At 36.3% G+C, this 21,646-nt stretch overlaps 3 annotated features.

Annotated features, from left to right (window-relative positions):
* Positions 16,048-16,547: an enhancer, noted in NCBI's record as "500 bp enhancer 129 fragment used in low-throughput reporter constructs". NCBI's record gives its function as "activates both an SV40 promoter and a TATA-containing promoter in HepG2 cells {active_cell/tissue: HepG2}" and the evidence as "EXISTENCE:reporter gene assay evidence [ECO:0000049][PMID:23512712]".
* Positions 16,226-16,370: an enhancer, noted in NCBI's record as "145 bp enhancer 129 fragment used in the MPRA reporter construct; PK_construct_75". NCBI's record gives its function as "activates an SV40 promoter by MPRA in HepG2 cells {active_cell/tissue: HepG2}" and the evidence as "EXISTENCE:reporter gene assay evidence [ECO:0000049][PMID:23512712]".
* Positions 16,291-16,304: a transcriptional cis regulatory region, noted in NCBI's record as "HNF1 motif; enhancer activity is lost when this motif is scrambled". NCBI's record gives its function as "necessary for full MPRA enhancer 129 activity {active_cell/tissue: HepG2}" and the evidence as "EXISTENCE:site-directed mutagenesis evidence [ECO:0005528][PMID:23512712]".

A 21,646-nucleotide genomic window follows, 5' to 3' on the forward strand; every position in this document is an offset into this window, starting at 1 on the left:
CGCTCAGCTAATTTTTGTAATTTTAGTAGAGATGGCGTTTCGCCATGTTGGCCAGGCTGGCCTCTAACTCCTGGCCACATGTGATCTGCCCGCCTTAGCCTCCCAAAGTGCTGGGATTAGAGGAGTGAGCGACTGCGCCTGGCGAACTCATAGGAAATTTAACACTCGGACTCTCCCAGGATCTGCATAAGAAAAGCAGGTTTTCCAGGGGAGAGGGGAAATGCTGAAGATAAAATCCATACCCAGAGGAGTACATGTCCAAGAGAACCACAAAAAAACGCAGCTGTATGGGATGCTGCGGGTGCCTTGCCCTGATCTCCTAATCAACTAAAGCATGCCACTGTTAATAGCTGTCCTTTCCTCCTAAGAATTTCTCCCTTCAGATGAGAAGCCGGACTCCCCTCTGCTGGAAGTTATGCACGTCTTTCATCCCTGAATTAACCCTCAGCGAATGACTGACCACCATAGGGGTACAGAAGACCACCTTCCTGCTTCAAGGTGGGACTGACTTTGTGGCATAATTCCTGTCCGGATTTCCCTGTGGGATTAGGCAGAAGCCGGCTCCAGCTGAAATCACATCTGTACTTCGTTCCTCATCTGCCCCATCCTATTTTCCTCACTTCCTTTCTCCTGAGGGTTTTTCCTCCACAAACTGCATAGACCCAAATCCCTGTCCCAGATTCTACTTCTTGGGAACCCCAACCTAAGACAGTGCCTGAAACCACTATTCAGCCATACATGATACCTGCCCTGTCTGTGTTCTTCCAGTTGTGTGCACTAGTACCATATATTGCGTTTGAAGACAGTATGTATAAGGTTTTTCTGTTACTTGTAGCCTGAAGTTTCCTAAGGAATAATATAGAAGCTAATGGTCTTTGACTGGGAAATCTGAGTTAGAAAAAGTACATGGCATGAGCTAGGTATAAAGGACAGGAGTTGACGTTTAGTATAAGACAGAACAAAGGTATGTTGTACTCAGTGAAGGACAAAAGGTGTTTCTGGGTTAAATGTTATTGAAGGTATGCAAAGTATGTGTTTTTGTGAGGTAGTATTTGCATGTACACCTTAGGAATTCTAGGAAGTCAAGCCAGGTCATATCCACTAAGGAAATTGTAAGACCACTGAGAGCAATGGAGGGGGAGGAGTTGAGTCAAATGACCAAATATCATTGCCACTATCACATGTTACAATGAAGAAACAACTTAATCCCTAAAGGGGTTATTTGGGATATGGAATTTTAGGAACTGGTCTTGAATCACAAGACCCGTGTCCCCGTCTTCAGGGTATAGATAGATGTAAGATCTGGGCCTGTGCTGACCAATACCATTGCCATTCATCACAGGTAGCTATTGAGTACTTCAAATGTGACTTGTCTGAATTAACATGTACTGTAAATGTAAAATATAAAATGAAAATCAAAGACAGTACCAGAAAATTAAAATGTCTCTAAATTTTTTATTGATTTTGTTTTGAAATTTTAATGTTTTGGATATGTTAGGTTGTATGTTATTAAAATTAATGTTATGTTTCTTTTTATACTTTTTAATGTGGCTGCTAGAAATTTTTAAATTACAACCATAGTTTACATTAAATGGCTATTAAACAGAACTGATATGAATAGTTTAAGGCACAGGTCTGTGTCATGTCCATAACTTGAAGTTCAGATCTGCAGCAAGATACTAAAATTTCCTAAAGAGAAGCAGCTTGAATTTATAGGTAATATTAGTATGAAGACATCATGATTAACTAGATAACTAAAAGCAAAACATCCAAGAAATCTAGTGAAGGTTAAATCATAATATGCTCAATTGAATACTTTACAAAATGACATGCAATAATTATAAATGGTTTCTTTCATGGCATATTAAAAATAGCTGAAATAACATCAAGATACAATGTAGCAACAAATTAAAAAGCATTTGTCAGTAAACTTACTCAAAAATACATAGAATACATTGCTGGAGATACAAAAGAGACAATTGTTAGAGCACATCACACCATGTAGGAAGGTGATTTACCAGCTGAATAAAAATATAGATGTGTTAACTCATCTCAGCTTATGTTATTCGTTAAATTTCCTTCATGATGCAGCAATGCCTGAAGCAGTACATTTTGGAGATTGTTAAAAGCAAAGATGTGCATAGAGGAAATAATATATTCTTAAGGATATTTTAGCAAAGAATTGTGGCTGCTTTGACGATTAGTAGAAAAAAACAAGATTCTGAAGCAAAAGCAAATGGCAGAAACAGCATTCTCTTCTTCTGTGATATTTGCTGGGTGTGGTAGTGTGCCCAGCTAAAATATTATATTCCCCAGTCTTCTTTACAACCGTGTTATGGTCAAGTGATTAGATTCTGAACAATTAGAAGTTATTGGATGGAACCTCTGGGAAGTCTCCTTAAAACGGGAGAACACAGAAATAGGATCCTTCCTTTTTTCCCTTCTTGGGTCCGATTGCCATCTTCTCACTTTGAAGGTGGAAGCCACATGAGACATATGGGGACAGAAAGATATAAGGAGCTTATGACAGCATGGAGCCACCATATTGTCCATAAAGGTCTCATTTTATATGAGAGAAAAATTTTTGTATTTTCACTTTTTTTGAACTGATAAAGGCATACAACCAAAAATCTTTGGAGATCCCTGGCCTGTGAGAAAGCATGGAGCACCCATGCTTGGTGGTAAGGACTGGATACAGGAAAGAGTGAGTAAACTAGGCCACATGGGAATAAGGAGAAGTTTAGGGAGGAAGAGAAATCTCTTTTAGGACTGCACCAAGCTGCAATAAGGGAATAATTAAACCTAAAAACCAAGGAGCTCTCCTTTGCTTAGGTTCCTTCAGAGGCACACTAGAACTTTCTTGATAGAATAAACTTCTTTATTATCAGCCTTAGCTACCACTCTATTCTCATTTCCTACCACTCCCCTTCCTCTCTTTTGCCCCACCATTCCTTTTGAAGACTTGTTCAAACATTAATTCTTTATCAAAAGGGCAAAGTCCAGCGGAAGAATCACAGATGAAAGTAGATAGGCAGCATTAAACTACAACTTATGAACAAGACCAAGTAGTCATATTATTGCCTGATGGTTAAGTTTTGATTGTAAAAGGTTGTAAAACTCTCTTAAGAATCAAGGCAAGTTTTTATAAAGACAAATAGAAGAGTCCATTTGTTTCAAAGCATTGTGATGCTCACTTCAGTAGCAGTCTCATGGCTATTGAACTCACTTTCAACACCATAGTCAAAGAATGAGTTTTTGCACTTTTCTCTCTATTCTTTGCCTGTTAACTTGATACATGGCATGTGGATTTCAATTTTTGAACCAGAATATTTAAGTTGCATCTCCACTTTTTCATCTCCAATAAATAAATTTTTCCAAAAGCAGATTCTCCATATAACAGGTTGACTTTGAGTCCTTTTTGAACTCTTTATTAAATCTTACCAAAAATCTTTGCCGTATTTATTCATTCGACAAATGTAATGTCAAGATCATGAAAGCTCAGACTTGTGTCTTCATAAAGAAAACGTAAATCTCATAATCATAAATATACATATACGCATATATATAATACACACACATAGATCATTTCACAAAATACTTCATTAAAAGAAACTGTGCTCCAAGGGCTATATGATTTAAGTTTACACAATGAATAAGAGTGTCATGATTTCAGAGTCCCAACCTTAGACGTAATGAAACATTGGTCTTGTTTCTTTTTAATATGACAGATTTGTATTTATACTCAATTCATGATTTGACTGACACTTAGAAAAAAATTAATTATACATAGACAAAATTTTCTTTTTTTTAAGTTAATATTCACATTTGACCACTTTCTAAAATTCTTAAATGGTTTATACCAAGCAATGTAATATTAGATATATAATTTTTAATGCTTCAAGGATATAACTAAAAAGGAACGTATATAATAAATGCTATTATTATTGCTAGATAATACAGACTGAAGTCTATATTTACATTATTTGCAGCATGATATTTTATCTAAAATAGATTTTAATTTAAAAAGTAATTAAGATTGTATCAGTAAGGACTCTTTATATGCATGTTATAGAAAGCCCTATTCAGATTGATTAATATAAGGAAATGTATTGACTCATGAAGCTGAAAATTCAGAATTAGGGCAGGTTTTAAGTTTGATCCAAAGGTCCACAAAGTCATCGGGTCTCATTTTCCTGCAATTCGCTTAGCTTTACTTCCTCTGTGTGTTTTCTGCATACTTAAGCTGGCTTCCCTCATGTAGGAATGGCAAGAAGAAAGCTGCCAGTGATTTCTAGGGCTCCAGATCTTCTTCACTTCTAGGTGGAAGAGATTACTTTCACCTCAACCATTAATTAAAAATTCACATTGATTGTATCATCCTTCATCATATTATGATCTTCAAACTAAAAATGTCAGAAAAAAGGTTGGAATTATCTTGACTGACTTGGGCCAATTGTGATTGCTAGAGCTAGGGGTGTAGTCAATCTCATACAAACCTTATGTCTGTTATTTGGGGTAAAGAGTGAAACAAATCCGTGAGGGACCACCAGAATGTCCCCTGCTAAGGGAGATAAAGCAGTATTTCTAAAGCATACTGGCATACTGTTTACTTGCGCTGATATTATGTCCAGTCATATGAAAATATATGGTTCTTGTACTGGAAGAAATCACATTAGACTGTATAAAATTTACCCATAAGGAAATTACAGTCTAGGAGAGGAGATAGTGAAATGATGAATAAATGCAATATTGTGTGATAAGAATCACATAATCAAAACATAATCTTGGAATTACATATGGCTTGAATTCAAGCTCTGCTATACTGTAGTGGTGAGGCCGTAAACACATTTCTTGTGCTATGTTGGTGTTCGCCCTCAGCGTTACCTTCATGTTTGCTAGATGGCTACAGGGGATCCAACCATCTCCTCATACAGCCATGTCAATAGACCTCAAAGGGAAAGTTAAGATGTTAATTATAGGGGACAGTGGGTGGGAGGTATATGGGAACTCTTTGTACTGTCTTTCCATTTTTCTGTAAATCTATAACCATTCTAAGTAATCAAGTGTATTTTTGAACAGAAAAAAAAATGAAAGTTATGCATCTCTTGTTAAAAGCAACAAAATTCTGTCAGAATCCACTCTTCTCCTATTTACCCACTATCAGCACACTTCCTCTTATTTGGCCAGAATTGCCATGTCTTAACCTCTAGATGTCAAAGCTAGCAAAACGGCACGATTGGCCCAAACTAATTAATATTTATCCTCTGAAATGTTCAGGGAAGAGGCTCTTTTTCTAGGATATGTGGATACACAGTGAAAAAACACTTGAACAAAATATGGAAGGAAATCCAGGAAGGAAAATTATGTGAGGTTAAGGGGTGGGAATGGGTTAGATTCACTTGGGAAGGCAATCAAAATACCTTCTAAACCACCCTCACAGTTAGTGTATGAAAGGAGCTTAGCATAGTGTATAGTAATGTAAGAGCTCAATAAACGGTTATTAATGTTATCATAAAAATATTTGATTTGATCTGATCGGGGCAGCTTTCCACAAGATGAGTCACTCTGACCATTGAAGACAGAGGCAATGTGAAATTTCCCAGTTGAGAAATGACAAAGGAAGGAAGCCAGAGTTAGTGAGGATGGGGAAGGTGGACAATTAAGGAGATGCTAAGTACTCAATTTCCAGTTTGGGTATGGAAGAGGAGTCTAGAACGACCTCAAGCTTGCTGGCATGATGGAACTAATGTCGGTAGATGCTGGTGTCATTTGTTAAAAAACGAATGCCAGAGAAGTGTCTGGTTTGATTACAGAGGCAGAGGTGCCAGTTCTGGGAGGAACATGATAAATTTGAGGTGTCTGCAGGACATTCTAGTGCAGATTTAATTGCAGTGCAGACTGCTACCACTTATTTAGTAGTTTGGCATTCATTTGGTCAACGAATATTTGTTGTATACCAGTAGTTTGGCATTCATTTGGTCAACAAACATTTGTTGTATACCTACTATATAGTTGGGACTAAGTTTAATCATTTATAAGCATTCTCTTATGTAATCTTTGCAATAGTTGGCCAGTGATCTCCAGCCATCACTTTTGAGGCCAATTTTGGAATCCATTCACTGCTGCATCACTGATAGTTAATTATCTTGTTGGCAGCAATATTCTCAAGCACAAAGGCCACATTGTGTGTGTTAACCCAGGAGTGTTTTTATCTGTCTCTCATTATAATTAGAATCAGGCCTGCACCCTCATTAACTATTTCTCTTTCCATGGACATTGGAGAACCTGGCAAACAAATGCTTGAAAATGCACTGAGTGCAATTGACTAATGAAATACCAGTTTCAAATACCTATAAAGAAAAAGCTTAATGTTATACATACATATATATATAAAAACTTTTATGTTATATATATGTGCATATATATGTAACTTAACACGTATCTGTGCTTTACAAGTTATAAAGAGTTTTCATAGATACGGTCACATTTGATTTTCAAGAAAACATTGACAGACACAATTTTTAAATTAAACTTTTATTTTGAGATAATTGTAGATTCACATATAGTTATAAGAAATAATGCAGAGAGAGTACATATACTCCAATTGAGTTTTCCCTCAGTGATAACACTGCAAAAATGCAGTGCCATATCATGCAGTGACAAGATATTGATATCGATACAGTCAAGATGCAGAACATGTCTGTCACCACCAGCTTCCTCATGTTGCCTCTTCATAGTCACACCTACTCCCTACTGCCTTGCCCCCTCCTTAACCCTTGGCAACCACTAATCTGTTCTCCATTTTCATATTTTTGTAATTTCAAGAGTATTATAAATAGAAACATATACCATGTAAGTTTTTGCCATCAACTTTATTTCATTGGGATATTTATCTCGATATGTATCCAGGCTGCTGCATGTATCAGTGTAGTTCATTTTCTTTTATTGCTAAGTACTATTCCCTTGGCATAGATGTATCACAGTTTGTTTAATCATTCACTAGTTGAATGACTTCTGTGTTATTTCCAGTTTGAGGCTATTAGAAATTATCTGCTATAAACATTCTCGTTCATTTTTTTGTGGGAACACACATCATCATTTTTCTGGAATACATACCCAGGAGTGAAATTGTTGGGTTACATGAAAATTGCATGTTTAATTATTGTTAAAACTGCCAGACTGTTTTCTAAAATGGCTGTATTGTTTTACGTTCCCACCAATGATGTCTGAGTGAATCCGTTTCTCTTTATCCTCACTAGAATTTGATGTTGTCATTACTTTTTTCAGATTTATTTATTTTTATTATTTATGTATTTTTTTTTTGAGACGGAGTCTCGCTGTAGCCCAGATTGGAGTGCAGTGGCGTGATCTCGGCTCACTGCAGTCTCCGCCCCCTGGGGTTCGCGCCATTCTCCTGCCTCAGCCTCCCGAGTAGCTGGGACTACAGGCGCCCACCACCACGCCTGGCTAATTTTTTTGTGTGTGTTTTTAGTAGAGATGGGGTTTCACCCTGTTAGCCAGGATGGTCTCAATCTCCTGACCTCGTGATCCGCCCGCCTCGGCCTCCCAAAGTTCTGAGATTACAGGCGTGAGCCACCACGCCTGGCCCTTTTTTCAGGTTTATTGAGGCATAACTGACAAGTAAAAATTGTATACGTTTAAAGTATACAACGTGATGTTTTGATATAGGTACCACTACCAAGCTAATGAACATATTCATTACCCTACATAATTCCTTTTGTGTGTGTGTGGGTGTGGTGAGAACATTTAAGATCTAATCTCTTGGCAAATTTCAATATACAATACATTATTATTTCTTATAAACACCATGCTATATATTAGATCTCTAGAATTATTTGTCCTGCATAACTGAAACATTGTGCCTTTGACCAATATTTCTCCATTTCCCCCACTTTCAGCCCCTGGCAACCACCATTGTACTGTCTGCTTCTATGAGTCCAACTTTTTCAGATTTTACATAGAAGTGAGATTTACTGTAAGATCCAACAGTCCCACTTTTGGGTATATATCCAAAGGAAAGATGAAATCAGTATTCCAAAAAGATATTTTCACTCCTATGTTCATTACAGCATTATTCACAGTAGAAAAAAATATGACATCAACCTAAATGTCCATTGACAGATGAATGGATGAATGGATAAACACACACACACACACACACACACACACACACACACACACACATTTCTATGCACAATGAAATATTATTCAGGCTTTAAAAAGAAGAAAATCCTGTTATATGTAACCACATGAATGAAACTGGAAGACACTGTACTAAGTGAAAAAATCTAAGTACAGAAAGACAATGTTGTTAGTTTTATTTTAGCCATACTTGTAGGTATTTAATGATATTTCATCGTGGTTATAATTTGCAATTCGTTAAAGGCTAATGATGTTGAACATCTTTTTATGTGCTTGTTTGCCATTTGTATGTATTCTTTGGTGAAATGTACCCTCGCTTTTTTGGCTCATGTTTTAGTTTCATTGTTTGCTTTGTACTACTGAGTTTTGAGAATTCTTTTTATATTATAGATACTAGTCCTGTATCACATATGTGGTTTGCAAATGTTTTCTTGCTTTCTGTAGCTTGTCTTTTTTTTCCTTCTCAACAAGGTCTTCACAGAGCAAACTTTTAAATTATGAAATCTAATTTATTAATTTTTTCTATTATGAATGTGCCTTTCTTCTCGAGACTATAAACTCTTTGCCTAAAGCTAGATTCCAAAGACTGGTCCTCCTATTTTTCTAAAACTCTAATAGCTGTACTTTCTACATTAAGTCTGTAATTCATTTTGAGTTAATTTTTGTATAAAATACGAGTTAGTTTGAGGGTTTGTGTGTGTGTGTTTGTGTGTGTGTGTGTGTATGTGTGTGTGGGGTTTTTTTGCATATGGAAATCCAAAGTCCAAATGGTCCAGCACCATTTGTAGAAAAGGCTATCTTTCCTCAATTAAATTGCTTTTCTATGTTAGTAAAAAATTATTTGGGCATATTTATGTGAGTCTATTTCTAGGCTTTATTTCTGGTCTTGATTACTGTAGCTTGAAGACTGTTTTCTTTATTTCTATTATTTTCTTTCAAAATTGTTTTAGCTATTTTCTTTGCCTTTCCATATAAATTTTGGAATACATTTTCTGTTAATATTTTATATCTACAAAAATATTGCTGATATTTTGATAGGAAACACACTAAAGATGTCAATTCTTAAATTGACATCTTTAAGAATTGGTATCTTTTAAGAATTGACATCTTTACTATTTTGAGTATTACAATCTGTGGACCTGATACATCTCTCCATTCATGATCTTTCTTAATTTCTTTCAACAATGTTGTCTGGTTTTTAGCTTACAAGTTCTATATGTTGTTCAATTTACGCCCCAGTATTTCATTTCATTTTTGAGCTATGTAAAGGGTATTGTATTTTTACTTTTAGTGCCTATATGTTCATTGTTAGAAAATACGGAGATACATTTGATATTTGTTATCTTGTAGCTTGTGACCTTGCTGAACTCACCTATTATTTCTTGAAGTTGTTTTTATTTTGTAGCTTGTCAATAACAAATTAGAACAGTTTTCACTTTTCCTTTCTGATCTGTATGCCATTTATTTATTTATTTATTTATTTATTTATTTATTTATTTTTGCCTTTTTGCACTGGCTAAAAATCTAATACTATGTTGAATAAGAATGTGAGAGTGAACACTCTTCCTCGTTTTTACAAGTTTTTTATGGATGCTCTTTATAAAGTTAAGTAAGTTCTCCTACATTACTATTTTTGAGAGTTTTTTAAAAATCAGAAGTGGATATTTACTTTTGTCAAACGCTTTTTCTACGTGAATTGATGTAATTATATAATTTTTATTTTGTAGCCTGTTGATTTGATGGATTACACTGATTGATTTATGATATTGAACCATTTTGTGTTCATACAATAAACCCTATTTGGTCATGCTATTTCACTCATTTACTATGTTGTTGAATGATATTTGCTAATATCGCATTAAGCATTTTTGCATCTATATTCATAAGTGTATTAATCTTTAATTTTTTTTGTACTGTCTTTGTCTGGTTTTTGTATTAGGACAATACCAGCTTCAGTAAATGAACTGGAAAGTGCTCCCTCCTTTTCTATTTTCCAGAATGGAGTGCATAGAATTGGTGTTAATTCTTTAAATACTTGGTAGAATCCTTCATTGAAACCATCTGGGACTGAAAATTCCTTTTTTGGAGTTTTTTTTTTTTTTTTTTTTGAGACGGAGTCTCGCTCTGTCGCCCAGGCTGGAGTGCAGTGGCGCCATCTCAGCTCACTGCAAGCTCCGCCTCCCGGGTTCACGCCATTCTCCTGTCTCAGCCTCCCGAGTAGCTGGGACTACAGGCGTCACCGCGCCTGGCTAACTTTTTGTATTTTTAGTAGAGACGGGGTTTCATCATGTTAGCCGGGATGGTCTCGATCTCCTGACCTTGTGATCCGCCCACCTCGGCCTCCCAAAGTGCTGGGATTACAGGCGTGAGCCACCGCGCCAGGCCCTTTTTTGGAGTTTTAAAATTACAAATTCAATTTGCTTAATAGTTAGAGATCTATTCGCATTATCTATTTTATGGTTAGTGGATTGGGGTAGTTTATGCTTTTCAAGGAATTGACCCCTATTATCTAAGTTGTCAAATTATATGGGTAGAGTTGTCCATGGTGTTCCAATATCCTTTGATGTCTGCAGAGTCTGCACGTGGCATCCCCATTTCATCCTGATATTGGTAATTTGTGTTTTCACTCCATTTTTCTTTGTCAAGCTTGCTAGAGTTTTGTCAATTTTATCCATCTTTTCCAATAAACTGTTCTCTGTTTCACTGATATTTTTCCTATAGTTTTCTATTTTCAATTTTATTGATTTTTTGTTCTTATCTTTATTGCTTCATTTATTCTGCTTGCTCTGAGTTTATTTGGTTTCTGTTTTTCAAGGTTCTTGAGGTGGAAGCTTAGATTATTTATTAGAGAAGTTTCCTTTTTTCTAATTTATGTATTTAATACTATAAGTTTTCCTCTCAGCACTGCTTTAACTGTATCTCACAATTTGAACACGTTGTATTTTTACTTTTCTTCAGTTTAATGTATTATTTGATTTCCTTTTAGACTTCTTCTTTGATCTAATATAATTCAGAAGTATGTCATTTGGTTTCCAAGTGTTTGAAGATTTCTCTATTATCATTCTGTTACTGATATCTATTTGACTCTATTATAGTCTCAAAATATACTTTGTATGATTTTAGATCTTTTAAATTTGTTGAGGTTTGTCTCATGGCCCAGGATAGTCTATCTTGGAATAGGTTCTGAGGGCACTTCAAAAGAATCTATATCCTGCTGTTATTTGGGGAAGTATTCTATAAATGTCTATTCATTCCTGTCAGTCAATGGCATTATTTTATTCTTCTCTATCCTTGCTGATTTTTGTCTAGCTTTCCAATCAGTTAGTGAGAGAGATGTGTTAAAGTCTCTAACTATAATTATTGACCTACAGTTCTATCCATTTTGGTTAACACATTTTGCAGATCTGTTGTTTCGTGCATATACATTTAGGGGTGCTATGTCTTCTTGGTGAATTGATGATATATTGTTATTTAATGTCTCTCTTTGCCTTTGGTAATTTTCTTTGCTCTGAAATCTACTTTATCAACTATTGGTATAGCCACTCCTACTTTTCTTTAATTAATATTTGCATGATAAATACATTTCTATAATTTTAGCTTCAACCTGCCCATATCATTATATCTGAAGTAGGTTTATTGTAGACAGCATGTAGTATGGTCATTTTTAACCCACTCTTTCCAATATCTGTTTTTAAATTAGTATATTTAGACTATTTATATTCAACATGATTATTGATAAGTTAGTACTTAAGTCTACTTTTGTTTTCTTATTTATTTCTTCTGGTTCTTGTTTCTCTGTTTACATTTTTCTCCCTTACTCAAACATTTTTTTCCAAAAATTCTATTTTGCTTGGCCTATAGCATTTTGAGTGCATTTCTTTGTACAGCTTATTTGTGGGTTTAATGGATATATACATAAATTATTGCAGTCTACTGGTGCCACTATTTTATCAATTTGAATGATATGCTGAACTATCACCTGTCTTTTCATCTTTAATCCTCCTCCATTTATAATAACTATCTTAAATATTTCCTCTACATAGATTTAGAGCCACATCAGATGGTGTTATATAATAAAACATGATTTAGAAAACTCAAAAAGAGAAGGAAAATTTATTGTGTTCACTCATATTTTTACTGTTTGTATTGTACTTTTCCCCTTTCTGATTTCCAAGATTCTTTTATCATTCTCTTCCTGTTTAAAAAACATCTTTTAGGATAGGTCTTTAGGCAACAAATTCTCTTAATTGTACTTCATCTATGAATGACTTGATTTTCTTTTTTTCTAAGGGATATATTTTATTAAATATAGGATTCTGAGTTTGCAGATTTTTTTTCTTTCAGTGCCTGAACATATTATGCCACTTCAATTTTACCTTCATAGTTTGGAAGATAAATTTGCTATCATCCTTATTTTTCATCTATAAGTAAGATGTTTTACTCAGGCTGCTTCAACATTTTTTCTGTCATTAGCTTTCAAAATTGTAATTATCATGTATCTTGACATCAATTGATTTAGCCTTATTATTTTCAGGCTTTGTTCAGCCTCTTGAATCTATAGGTTTATGTCTTTCCACAAATTGGGGAGTTTTCAGCCATTATTTCTTCAAGTATGTTTTCAGTTCTTCCCTCTTTCTTTCCTTTCCAGACTCTGATATCATAAATACTAGATACATTGTTATAGTCTCACAGATCCCTAAGGCTGTGCTCTTTTTTTTTTCCTGCCTATTTCTCTTTTTTGCTCAGATTGGACAATTTCTATTGCGCTATCTTCCAGTTCCTTGATTTTTTCCTCATTCCCCTTCAATCTGTTTTTTATTCCATCAGCTGAGATTCTTATTTCAGTTATTATATTTTTCATTCTAAATCTCCATGTGTTTCTTTTTTATACTTTCTATTTCTTTGCTGAGATTTTCTATTTCTTGGTTGAGACTTTGCAATTTTGTTTCTGGCATTGGTTCTAATTGCTTGTTCAAACATTTTTATCATAGGTGCTTTAAAATTTTTAGCAGGTAATTTTAACATTTCTGTTTTCTCGGTGTTGGAATTTATTGACTATCTTTTTTTTCATTAAGTTTGAGATATTCCTAGTTCATGGCATGATGAATCATATTCTATCGAAACCTGGACATTTTTGCACCGTGTTACATGATTTACGATCTTATTACAAACCATTTGCTTTAATATTTTGACACTGCTTCAGTGAGATGGTAGGCACCACCTTGTTACTGCTAGTAGTTACCACCTTGTTACTGCCAGTAGTTACCACCTTGTTACTGCCAGAAGAGGTCTGGGTTCCCCCACTTTACCTCCAGTGACACCTGTGTGGTAGAGGCAGCGGGGAGGGAAGCATCTCATTATTGCTGGTTACAGGTTGGAGTTCCAGCTCCTCTAGTGGTCTCCACTGATGTGGTAGTGGCCTCATTACTCTAGGCAATAGTTAATGTCCTAAATTTCCAATCGGTTTCTTCTGATACCACCACAGTGAGGAAGGATAGAGACATCTTGCTACTGCTCGATGTGGTCCATGCTGCTCATGTGGTCTCCATTGCCACCATGAAAGCAGAGGGGAGCAGAGTGGGGATATCATTACTGGACAGCAGGGATGAAAATCCTTCCTTCTGACTTGGTCTTCTTTGAAGCTATCCTAGTCGAAGTGTTAGGGTTCCTCATTACAGACTCACGAGGGTGGAAATCTAGGCTCCGAGTTCATCTTTTACTGGTATAGATAGGTGTGGGGCCACAGTATTTCATGTGGTATTTTGTTGGAGAAGTTATTGTGTAAAATGTTTCTGTCTTGATAGGTTGCCTTTTTCCTAATGTTTGGCTAGAGAGAAGAAGCTTTTGTTGGAGCTTAAATTTTCTTTTCTTTTGTCTATTGGTATTTATAGGTTTCCGGCTTCTGCAGCTTCATGTCTGAGATACGTGAAGCAAAAAGGAAGCCCACGACAATTACTGCCATGTGATTTCACTAGGTCTAGGCATCCCGAACTGGCTTGTCTTTATATTTTCTCCTTTTATAGTCTTCTTACATTTGCCTAATACATAATGTCTGGGGCTTTTATTGTACTTATCAATAGGAATAGGAAAAATGTGCCTATGCCATATTCGTGGAAATGAAAGTCTGGCATGACTATCAAAAATAAATTGGACTCAGGAATGTTGAACAAATTGTTCAGGGTCACCCAGTTAGAAAGTGAAAAATCAAGAAAGAAATGAGTAATAGGCACTTTAGAGTGAAATGGTCTGAGTTTGGTTTCTAGATCTATCACTCATTCTAAATATTATTAGTAATTTTTTTTTTCCACAGGCCCCTTTGAGAATATGATAAAAGCTAAAATCTTCTCTTCTGAAAAACACACTTATGGCTGGGCATGGTGGCTCACGCCTGTAATCCCAGCACTTTGGGAGGCCGAGGCGGGTGATCATCTGAGGTCAAGAGTTCGAGACCAGCCTGGCCAACATGTTGAAACCCCTTCTCTACTAAAAATACAAAAATTAGCCGGGTGTGGTGGTGGGTGCCTGTAATCCCAGCTACTCGGGAGGCTGAGGCAGGAGAATCGTTTGAACCCAGGAGGCAGAGGTTGCAGTGAGCTGAGATTGTACCAATGCACCCCAGCCTAGGCAACAGGGTGAGACTCTGTCTAAAAAAAAAAAAGAAAGAAAGAAAGAAAAGAAAAGAAAAACATACTTATGCACATACATACAACAGTTTGCACTTCATTTGAGTTAATTCCATGAATTCTAGGTCAGGATCTCCTGTTTTGGAAAAAAGCATGTTGTAGGCTTGTATGTGAGGAAGAGAGAAGCCACATTTATAAGAACAGAGCAGAGAATCACATTCTGAAAGGGAGTTTGCTGGTTCAAGTGTGGCTCTCAGAACGAAGAGGCTCTGAGGACTTGAATGAGTAGAGGACAACCATAGGGGCATCATGGAGTGCCAAGAGCAGTGGTTTTACTAGAAGATGCCCGTCTTCATCCCCACTCACCGGAGGGATGACTCACCTGTGCAGGCAGCTCTGCCGGGCTCCTCTGTATGTGTAGATTATCATCTGTTAACTGATGATCACCATGCTGGATGTGCTATAGCAATGCCCTCAGGGCTCTCTGGCTCCAGAGCACTTCTGGACCCTTTCTGGATAGGAAGCAAATGATATTGCTTGGACTTTGCAAATGGACTTAAGCACACCAGTGTACCCTGAGCTGGGGACAGAGGTAAAAGACTAGCATAAAGTTTGACATATAGGACAACAGAAAAGAAAGGTTAAGAAGGCTATGAGGGCTACAGGAAAGAGCAGTCAGATAAACAATTTGTATTTTAGCATTTACTAGCTAGGTGGCCTTGGATAAGTCACTAATGTCTTTGAATATCAATGTCTTCACCTGTAAAATGTTGATAATAATATAAATAATAATTATAGATTAATAATTTCACATCATATAGTTTTTACATGTAGTGAAGAAGATCATACATGCAGAGACTCTTTGTGAATTGGAAAACACTATACCAATATTATTTTCTAGGTCTAGCTAGAGATTATATACTTCATCCAGGAGTAGAATTTTACGTACATAATTGTTACCTTTTGTAAGATATTTATGTAAAGGATTGATGTGAAAACGTATAACAATTCTATGGTAAAACCATGATCTAGTTTTCTCTACTTAGAGAAAAATGTCCTAGGGAACATGGGTACTCCCCATAGAGAAAAAATATGTTTCATTAGAGCAGATGGCTGAGGAGAAAAAAAGTAGAGCATAATAAAAGGTATCTATAAAATTAGTCAAAACACTGAGTGTTACAAAAATAGTTCAGTGTTTTAACTGTCTTTTAGGGGTTTGTTTTACACGTGGAGGCAAAATGATCATAAAAAATATCAAAGGCAACCTCTCTGAACTATTTTTTTCTGGAATTCTAAAGAACTGGCAGCATTCTGAGAGCCTTTAGGTGAGGAATGACTAAGTGAGAAACAGACAGTTCAGTTTTTTATAACTTAGAGACAAGCATTTACCATTCTAAACAATTCTAAACAATAACCAATGAGTCTATTGTCAGGTTCAGGAAGGAGGCAACCCTTTGAAATGCCTGAAGGTAAAAGTGGCACAGAGTGTTCAAATGATTCTGTTGGTTAATAATTAATATCCTCTGGAGACTTGCGCAAATGATTATGCAAGAGCACATATCACACTGTGCATTCCTAACCTCTGATACACTAAAGCATAAGTGTTTTGTTACCAAGTATTCTTTGCAATCTTTCTTAGCCATTAATCTAAAGTTTCTGCATTTAGAGAGCTGTTGTGAATTGACCAAAGTCAATTTGTCATTGACAAATATTTAGTTAGGTTTGGTAGATGGGAGGAGTTAGAAATGGATAAGAACTCAAGGTCTCCCCACATCCTTGCTATCCAGGTAACATTTAACAATAAAAATAAATCTCAGATTGAATTCCTCAACATGTACAAATTTTTATTAGCAAACCTGCATGGACCTCTTCTGTAAACTAAGTGAAGACTTTACTCTTGATCCTTCAGCATGCTGTGATAGTATTTTGCAGGAAATCACCACTTTAGAAAAATGTGAAAATTTTTGAGCAGTAGGATACAGTTAATCTGAGATCAAATGTCAGAATATTACAAAAATGGCTTAAGACAGGACTGGATACTTAGGGCTATGGCTCTACTGGAAAGGATGTAAGATTTTATGCCCTATTCATGTCACAGGAGGCATACCTGTACAATCCTGTAAGCCAGTCTTTATATTTTGAGCACAAATAATGGCCAAAATGAAAATGTATTTCTCACCTCCATTATGCAAATTAACAAAGCTTCTGGAGTTGAAAGAAGAATAGGATTGGCTGAAGCAATTCCAGAAGCTTTCCAGGGGTACAGCCTTTTGAGAAGACCTTTCCAAATGCTACAATATGTTTGAAATATTTATTTTTGATTAAGGTACAAAGTTTTTCCAGTAAATATCAAGTATTTATTGAATATAATTAATGCATATACATTGTATATGTTTTAAGATGTGTAATACCATTAATTTGAAGTACATGCCCATTAAACAGAACTCTTAAAAGTGCTAGTATCATCTTTTTTCTGATAGCAACCAAATAAATCCACCTTAAGGTAAATATTTTTAAGTCAATTAACCCTTATTGGTAAGTGGCTTTGTACTTTTGAGAAATGAATAATTAAAACAATTTGTTGTAATTAAAGAAATTGATTATGTTTGATGAAGTGTCTAGCTTCCAAGGTTTGTGTATAGTTTGTTTAATAACTATTAAACTAAGTGATTGTGGCACTTGGAATATAATGTCCAAATAGGAGTGTCATTATTTTTAAGGAAGCACATACTGAGTTTGACAAAAAGATTTAAAACGGTTTATTGTAATTTTCCTTCTTAAAAAATTAAGAATTCGAGATGAATGTTTTACCAGGATGAAATTTATGAATGTAACTACAAAGGATATAAAGTCTCTCTCTGGAAATGAAATCTGTCTTCATTTGTTTTTACCATTTTCACTTTTACAAAGCATTTTTCATCATTTTAAGAGGAAGTTCTGTGCAGGTGTTTAAATTCTGTGATGAGCATTATGAACCTCATTTTGTGGTCAGGCATTGTGGGCAATGCAGATTTTATTTCCTAAATTCACAACTTTCTAAGTCCCAATTTTTAAATATTACAAATTATAGAGTTTATTCATTGAACCATCCTCTTATTCACTAGTATTCATTGAGCAAAAAATATGGATCAGGCACAAGAAGCTAAAAATGCTAAAGACACAGTCCCTGCCTCAGTAAATCACAGCCTAGTTGGAGAGACTGAGAGGTGGCTGGTGTCATGGCAGCAGATGACAGAGTGGCTTAGAGCCTGGGCTCTGCAGCCAGTCGTATTGAGCCAGAATTCTGACTCTGCCATCTCTTAACCTCTCTCTGGTTCAGTTTCCCCACCTATAAAATGACTATGTATGATGCTATCTACCTCATAGGATTGTTGCGAGGACCAATGTCATTTATTCATACAAACACTCTGAATGTTGTATGGCATGTAGAGATAAATGTGCCAAACAATACATGTTGTCTAGAATTATTATGTTAAGTGTAGGTTGCTTTGAGAGCTGTCTCCTGCTAGAATATCTCTTTATGTCACTCTGTGTCAACTCAGATACCAATTCCTACCAGACTGAACTCTGTATGATCTTTTTAATCTATTGACTTCCCCCTATTCTCACAGTCATGACTTTGGTTTAGACTTTGGTTATTTCTTACTTGTTTTCCTGACAGTCTTATGTCCTTGGATGCATTATCCAGACTTTCTAATCACTGACTGAAAAATCTTATCTGATTATCTGTTATCATCTCCCTCCCACGATCAAAATCTCCTTCAATGCCTTTTTATTATCCTCATTCTGAAATGAAACACAGGGCCTCTCAAGCTCAAGTTATGCTGGGCCACTCTTGGGTGTTGAGATTCCTTATTAGTGTGTAAAAATAAACAAATGCTAAAATTAAAATCACAATATGTTTTACATTTATGGGTTTGTAACATGGAATCACTTTAAACATATACAATATAGAAATGTGTATAATTGTGCAATTCAAAGATAACTAAAGAAACCATGCAATTCTCAATTCATAGTTGATGTGACTATGTATTTGGTACACAGGTTAACAGCTTATAGTAACTGAAATGTCTTCCTTTTTCAATTTAATCAGTGGATTTCTCTGTATTAGAAATGATTTGGGCTGGAACTAACAGTTTATGCAATATCAATTAATTATTTCTCATAGTTCTGCAAAATGGGGATCATCTTGCTGGCTCTACTCCTCCTGGTATTTGCTGGGGCTAGAAAATCCAAGATGGCTTCTTCACTCACATTTCTGGTGCCTCAGGTAGGAGGGCTAGAATAGAGCATAGCTGGCTGGGCATTTCTTTCTCCATGCGGCCTCTCAAATGGCTAGCTTGGGCTTCCATGAGGCATGATGGACTCTGGGTATTCAAACTTCTTACGTGGTAACTGATTCTTTTTTTTTTTTTTTTTTTTTTTGACGGAATCTCACTCTTGTCCAGGCTGGAGTTCAGTGGTACAATCTTGGCTCACTGCAACCTCTGCCTCCTGGGTTCAAATGATTCTCCTGCCTCAGCCTCCTGAGTAGCTGGGACTACAGATGTGTGCTACCATGCCCAGCTAATTTTTTGTATTTTTTAGTACAGACGGGGTTTCACTGTGTTAGCCAGGATGGTCTTGATCTCCTGACCTTGTGATCAGCCTGCTTGGCCTCCCAAAGTGTTGGGATTACAGGCGTGAGCCACTGCACCCAGCCCTGATTCTATTCTTTTTTTTTTTTTTTTTTTTTTTAGAGACAGGTTCTCACTATGTTGCTGAGACTGGACTCAAATTTCTGGGCTCAAGCAATCTTCCTGCTTAATAGCTCCCTAATAGCTGGGACTATAGGTGCACTCCACTGCATCTGGCAAAACTGGTTTCTGAGAGAGAGGAAGTCTCTTTTTGAGGCCAGTCCCAGAATTGGCACTAATGGTCAATGTCACTCCCACTACATTCTGGTGAAAGGAAGTTACAAAGCTAGTGCAGATTCAAGGAGAGGGAAAATAGACTCCATCCCACCTATTATTATGCAGAATAATGTGTGAGTACAGTGAAAAAAGGAGGCGATGGTGGCCATCTTTACAGACTATCCACCATACTCAAATAATGTCTACATTGAGGTAGTTGCTGATAATGATTCAGTGGTTCTACTCTGATACTTTTGGCCTTCCTCTCATTGTTGAAAGGTGATTGGAGTATTTCCAACTGTTTTATCCTCTTCCAATTATGTTCAAAGCTAGGAAACAGGTGAGTCCTTTTCCTTAGGCACTTCTTTCTTATCAGGTAGAAAAAAAATTTCCCACAAGCCCCCATCAGATTTCTTCTTGCAGCGCTTTGACCGGACCTGGATTACATACCCACCCTTAGACAAGGATGGGCCTTTTCCTTAAGAGGAGCTGCATCCAAATCCTAAACAAAATTAGTGAACTAATGGCAAGATGGGAGAGAGAGTGGATTTTAAGTAAACAAGGAATGGAGGAATGGTGTTGGTCATTTTCTTTTTAAATTTTTTTTTCTTTTTTTTTTTTGAGACAGAGTCTTGCTCTGTCGCCCAGGCTAGAGTGCAATGGCGTGATCTTGGCTCACTGCAAGCTCCACCTCCCGTGTTCAAGCGATTCTCCTGCGTTAGCCTCCCAAGTAGCTGGGATTACAGGTGTGTGCCACCACGCTCAGCTAATTTTCGTATTTTTAGTAGAGACAGGGTTTCACAATGTTGGTCAGGCTGGTCTCGAAATCCTGACCTCATGATCTGCCTGCCTCGGCCTCCCAAAGTGCTGGAATTACAGGCATAAGCCAGCATGCCCGGCCCATATTCTTTAACTGTATGTACAATTTAATTTGTAGATGATCCTAAAAGTCTAAATTGGAGTCCTACTGTCTTCCTCATCTTCAGCCCCCATAACAAACCTCATGATAGTTTTTGTCTATAAGAACCCCTTTGTAGTTTTACCACCTGCAAATTATTTAACCTTGCTTTTCCGTGATTCCTCACCCTTCACATCCCTTATATCTCTTAGCTATTGCCTCAAAAATTCTGGATAACAAACCAACCCAAATTTTTCCTTAAACGGCATTTACTTATTCTTACTCAGACTCATATGGATTGGCTAGAGGTAGGCTTGAGATTGGCTGATGGAGGTCTGGCTTAGATTCAATCAGGAGGTTGGTCCACATCTGTTCCACATGTCTCTCCTCCTCCCTGCATTTGCTGGTCTTTAAGTGCCTTCAACTGAAAATAATCAGTATACCAAAGCAGCATATTTTGGAGTGGCATTTCCTGAAATCCTTCACTGGTCAGGTGGCGAAGATCAACCACCTGATCAATTTGTTCTAGAGTGTAGAACAAGTCTGGAACTAGACAGGACTAAGTTCAAATCTGGGCTCTGTCTTTTACTAGCTATGTGACCTTTGTCAAATACTTAATCTCTTTAATCCTCAAATTCTTCATTTGTAAAGGGAAGATTAGAATAGTACTGCAAGGACATGCTCCAAAATTTAACAAGGATTATCTTTGGATAATAGGGTTAAGAATCCTTTTAAAGTCTGCCTTTAAAAAAAAAATCTAAATTTCCTACCTATAATTAACACGTATTACCCTTGTAATTTTCAAAAAGTTATTTTTTTCAAAACATACTATTGATGCTTTCTGTAAACATGTGGCATAATTGCAGGTTCTATTAATATCTGTGAAGAACTGCAAACAAGAGAATGGATTAGGAAAACTGATATTCTTATTTTTCTCTCTATTGAAGACAAGAAACACACACTGAATACTGATTATCTGTAGAGCACGGAGTGTGGTTCTACATTGAAAAAGGAATATTTTGTGCTTTTAAGGGCTTTACAATCATTAGGGTAGAATTCTAAAAAGCAAA

This window comes from Homo sapiens, chromosome 3 (assembly GCF_000001405.40).
Source record: "Homo sapiens chromosome 3, GRCh38.p14 Primary Assembly".
Lineage (NCBI taxonomy): Eukaryota > Metazoa > Chordata > Mammalia > Primates > Hominidae > Homo > Homo sapiens.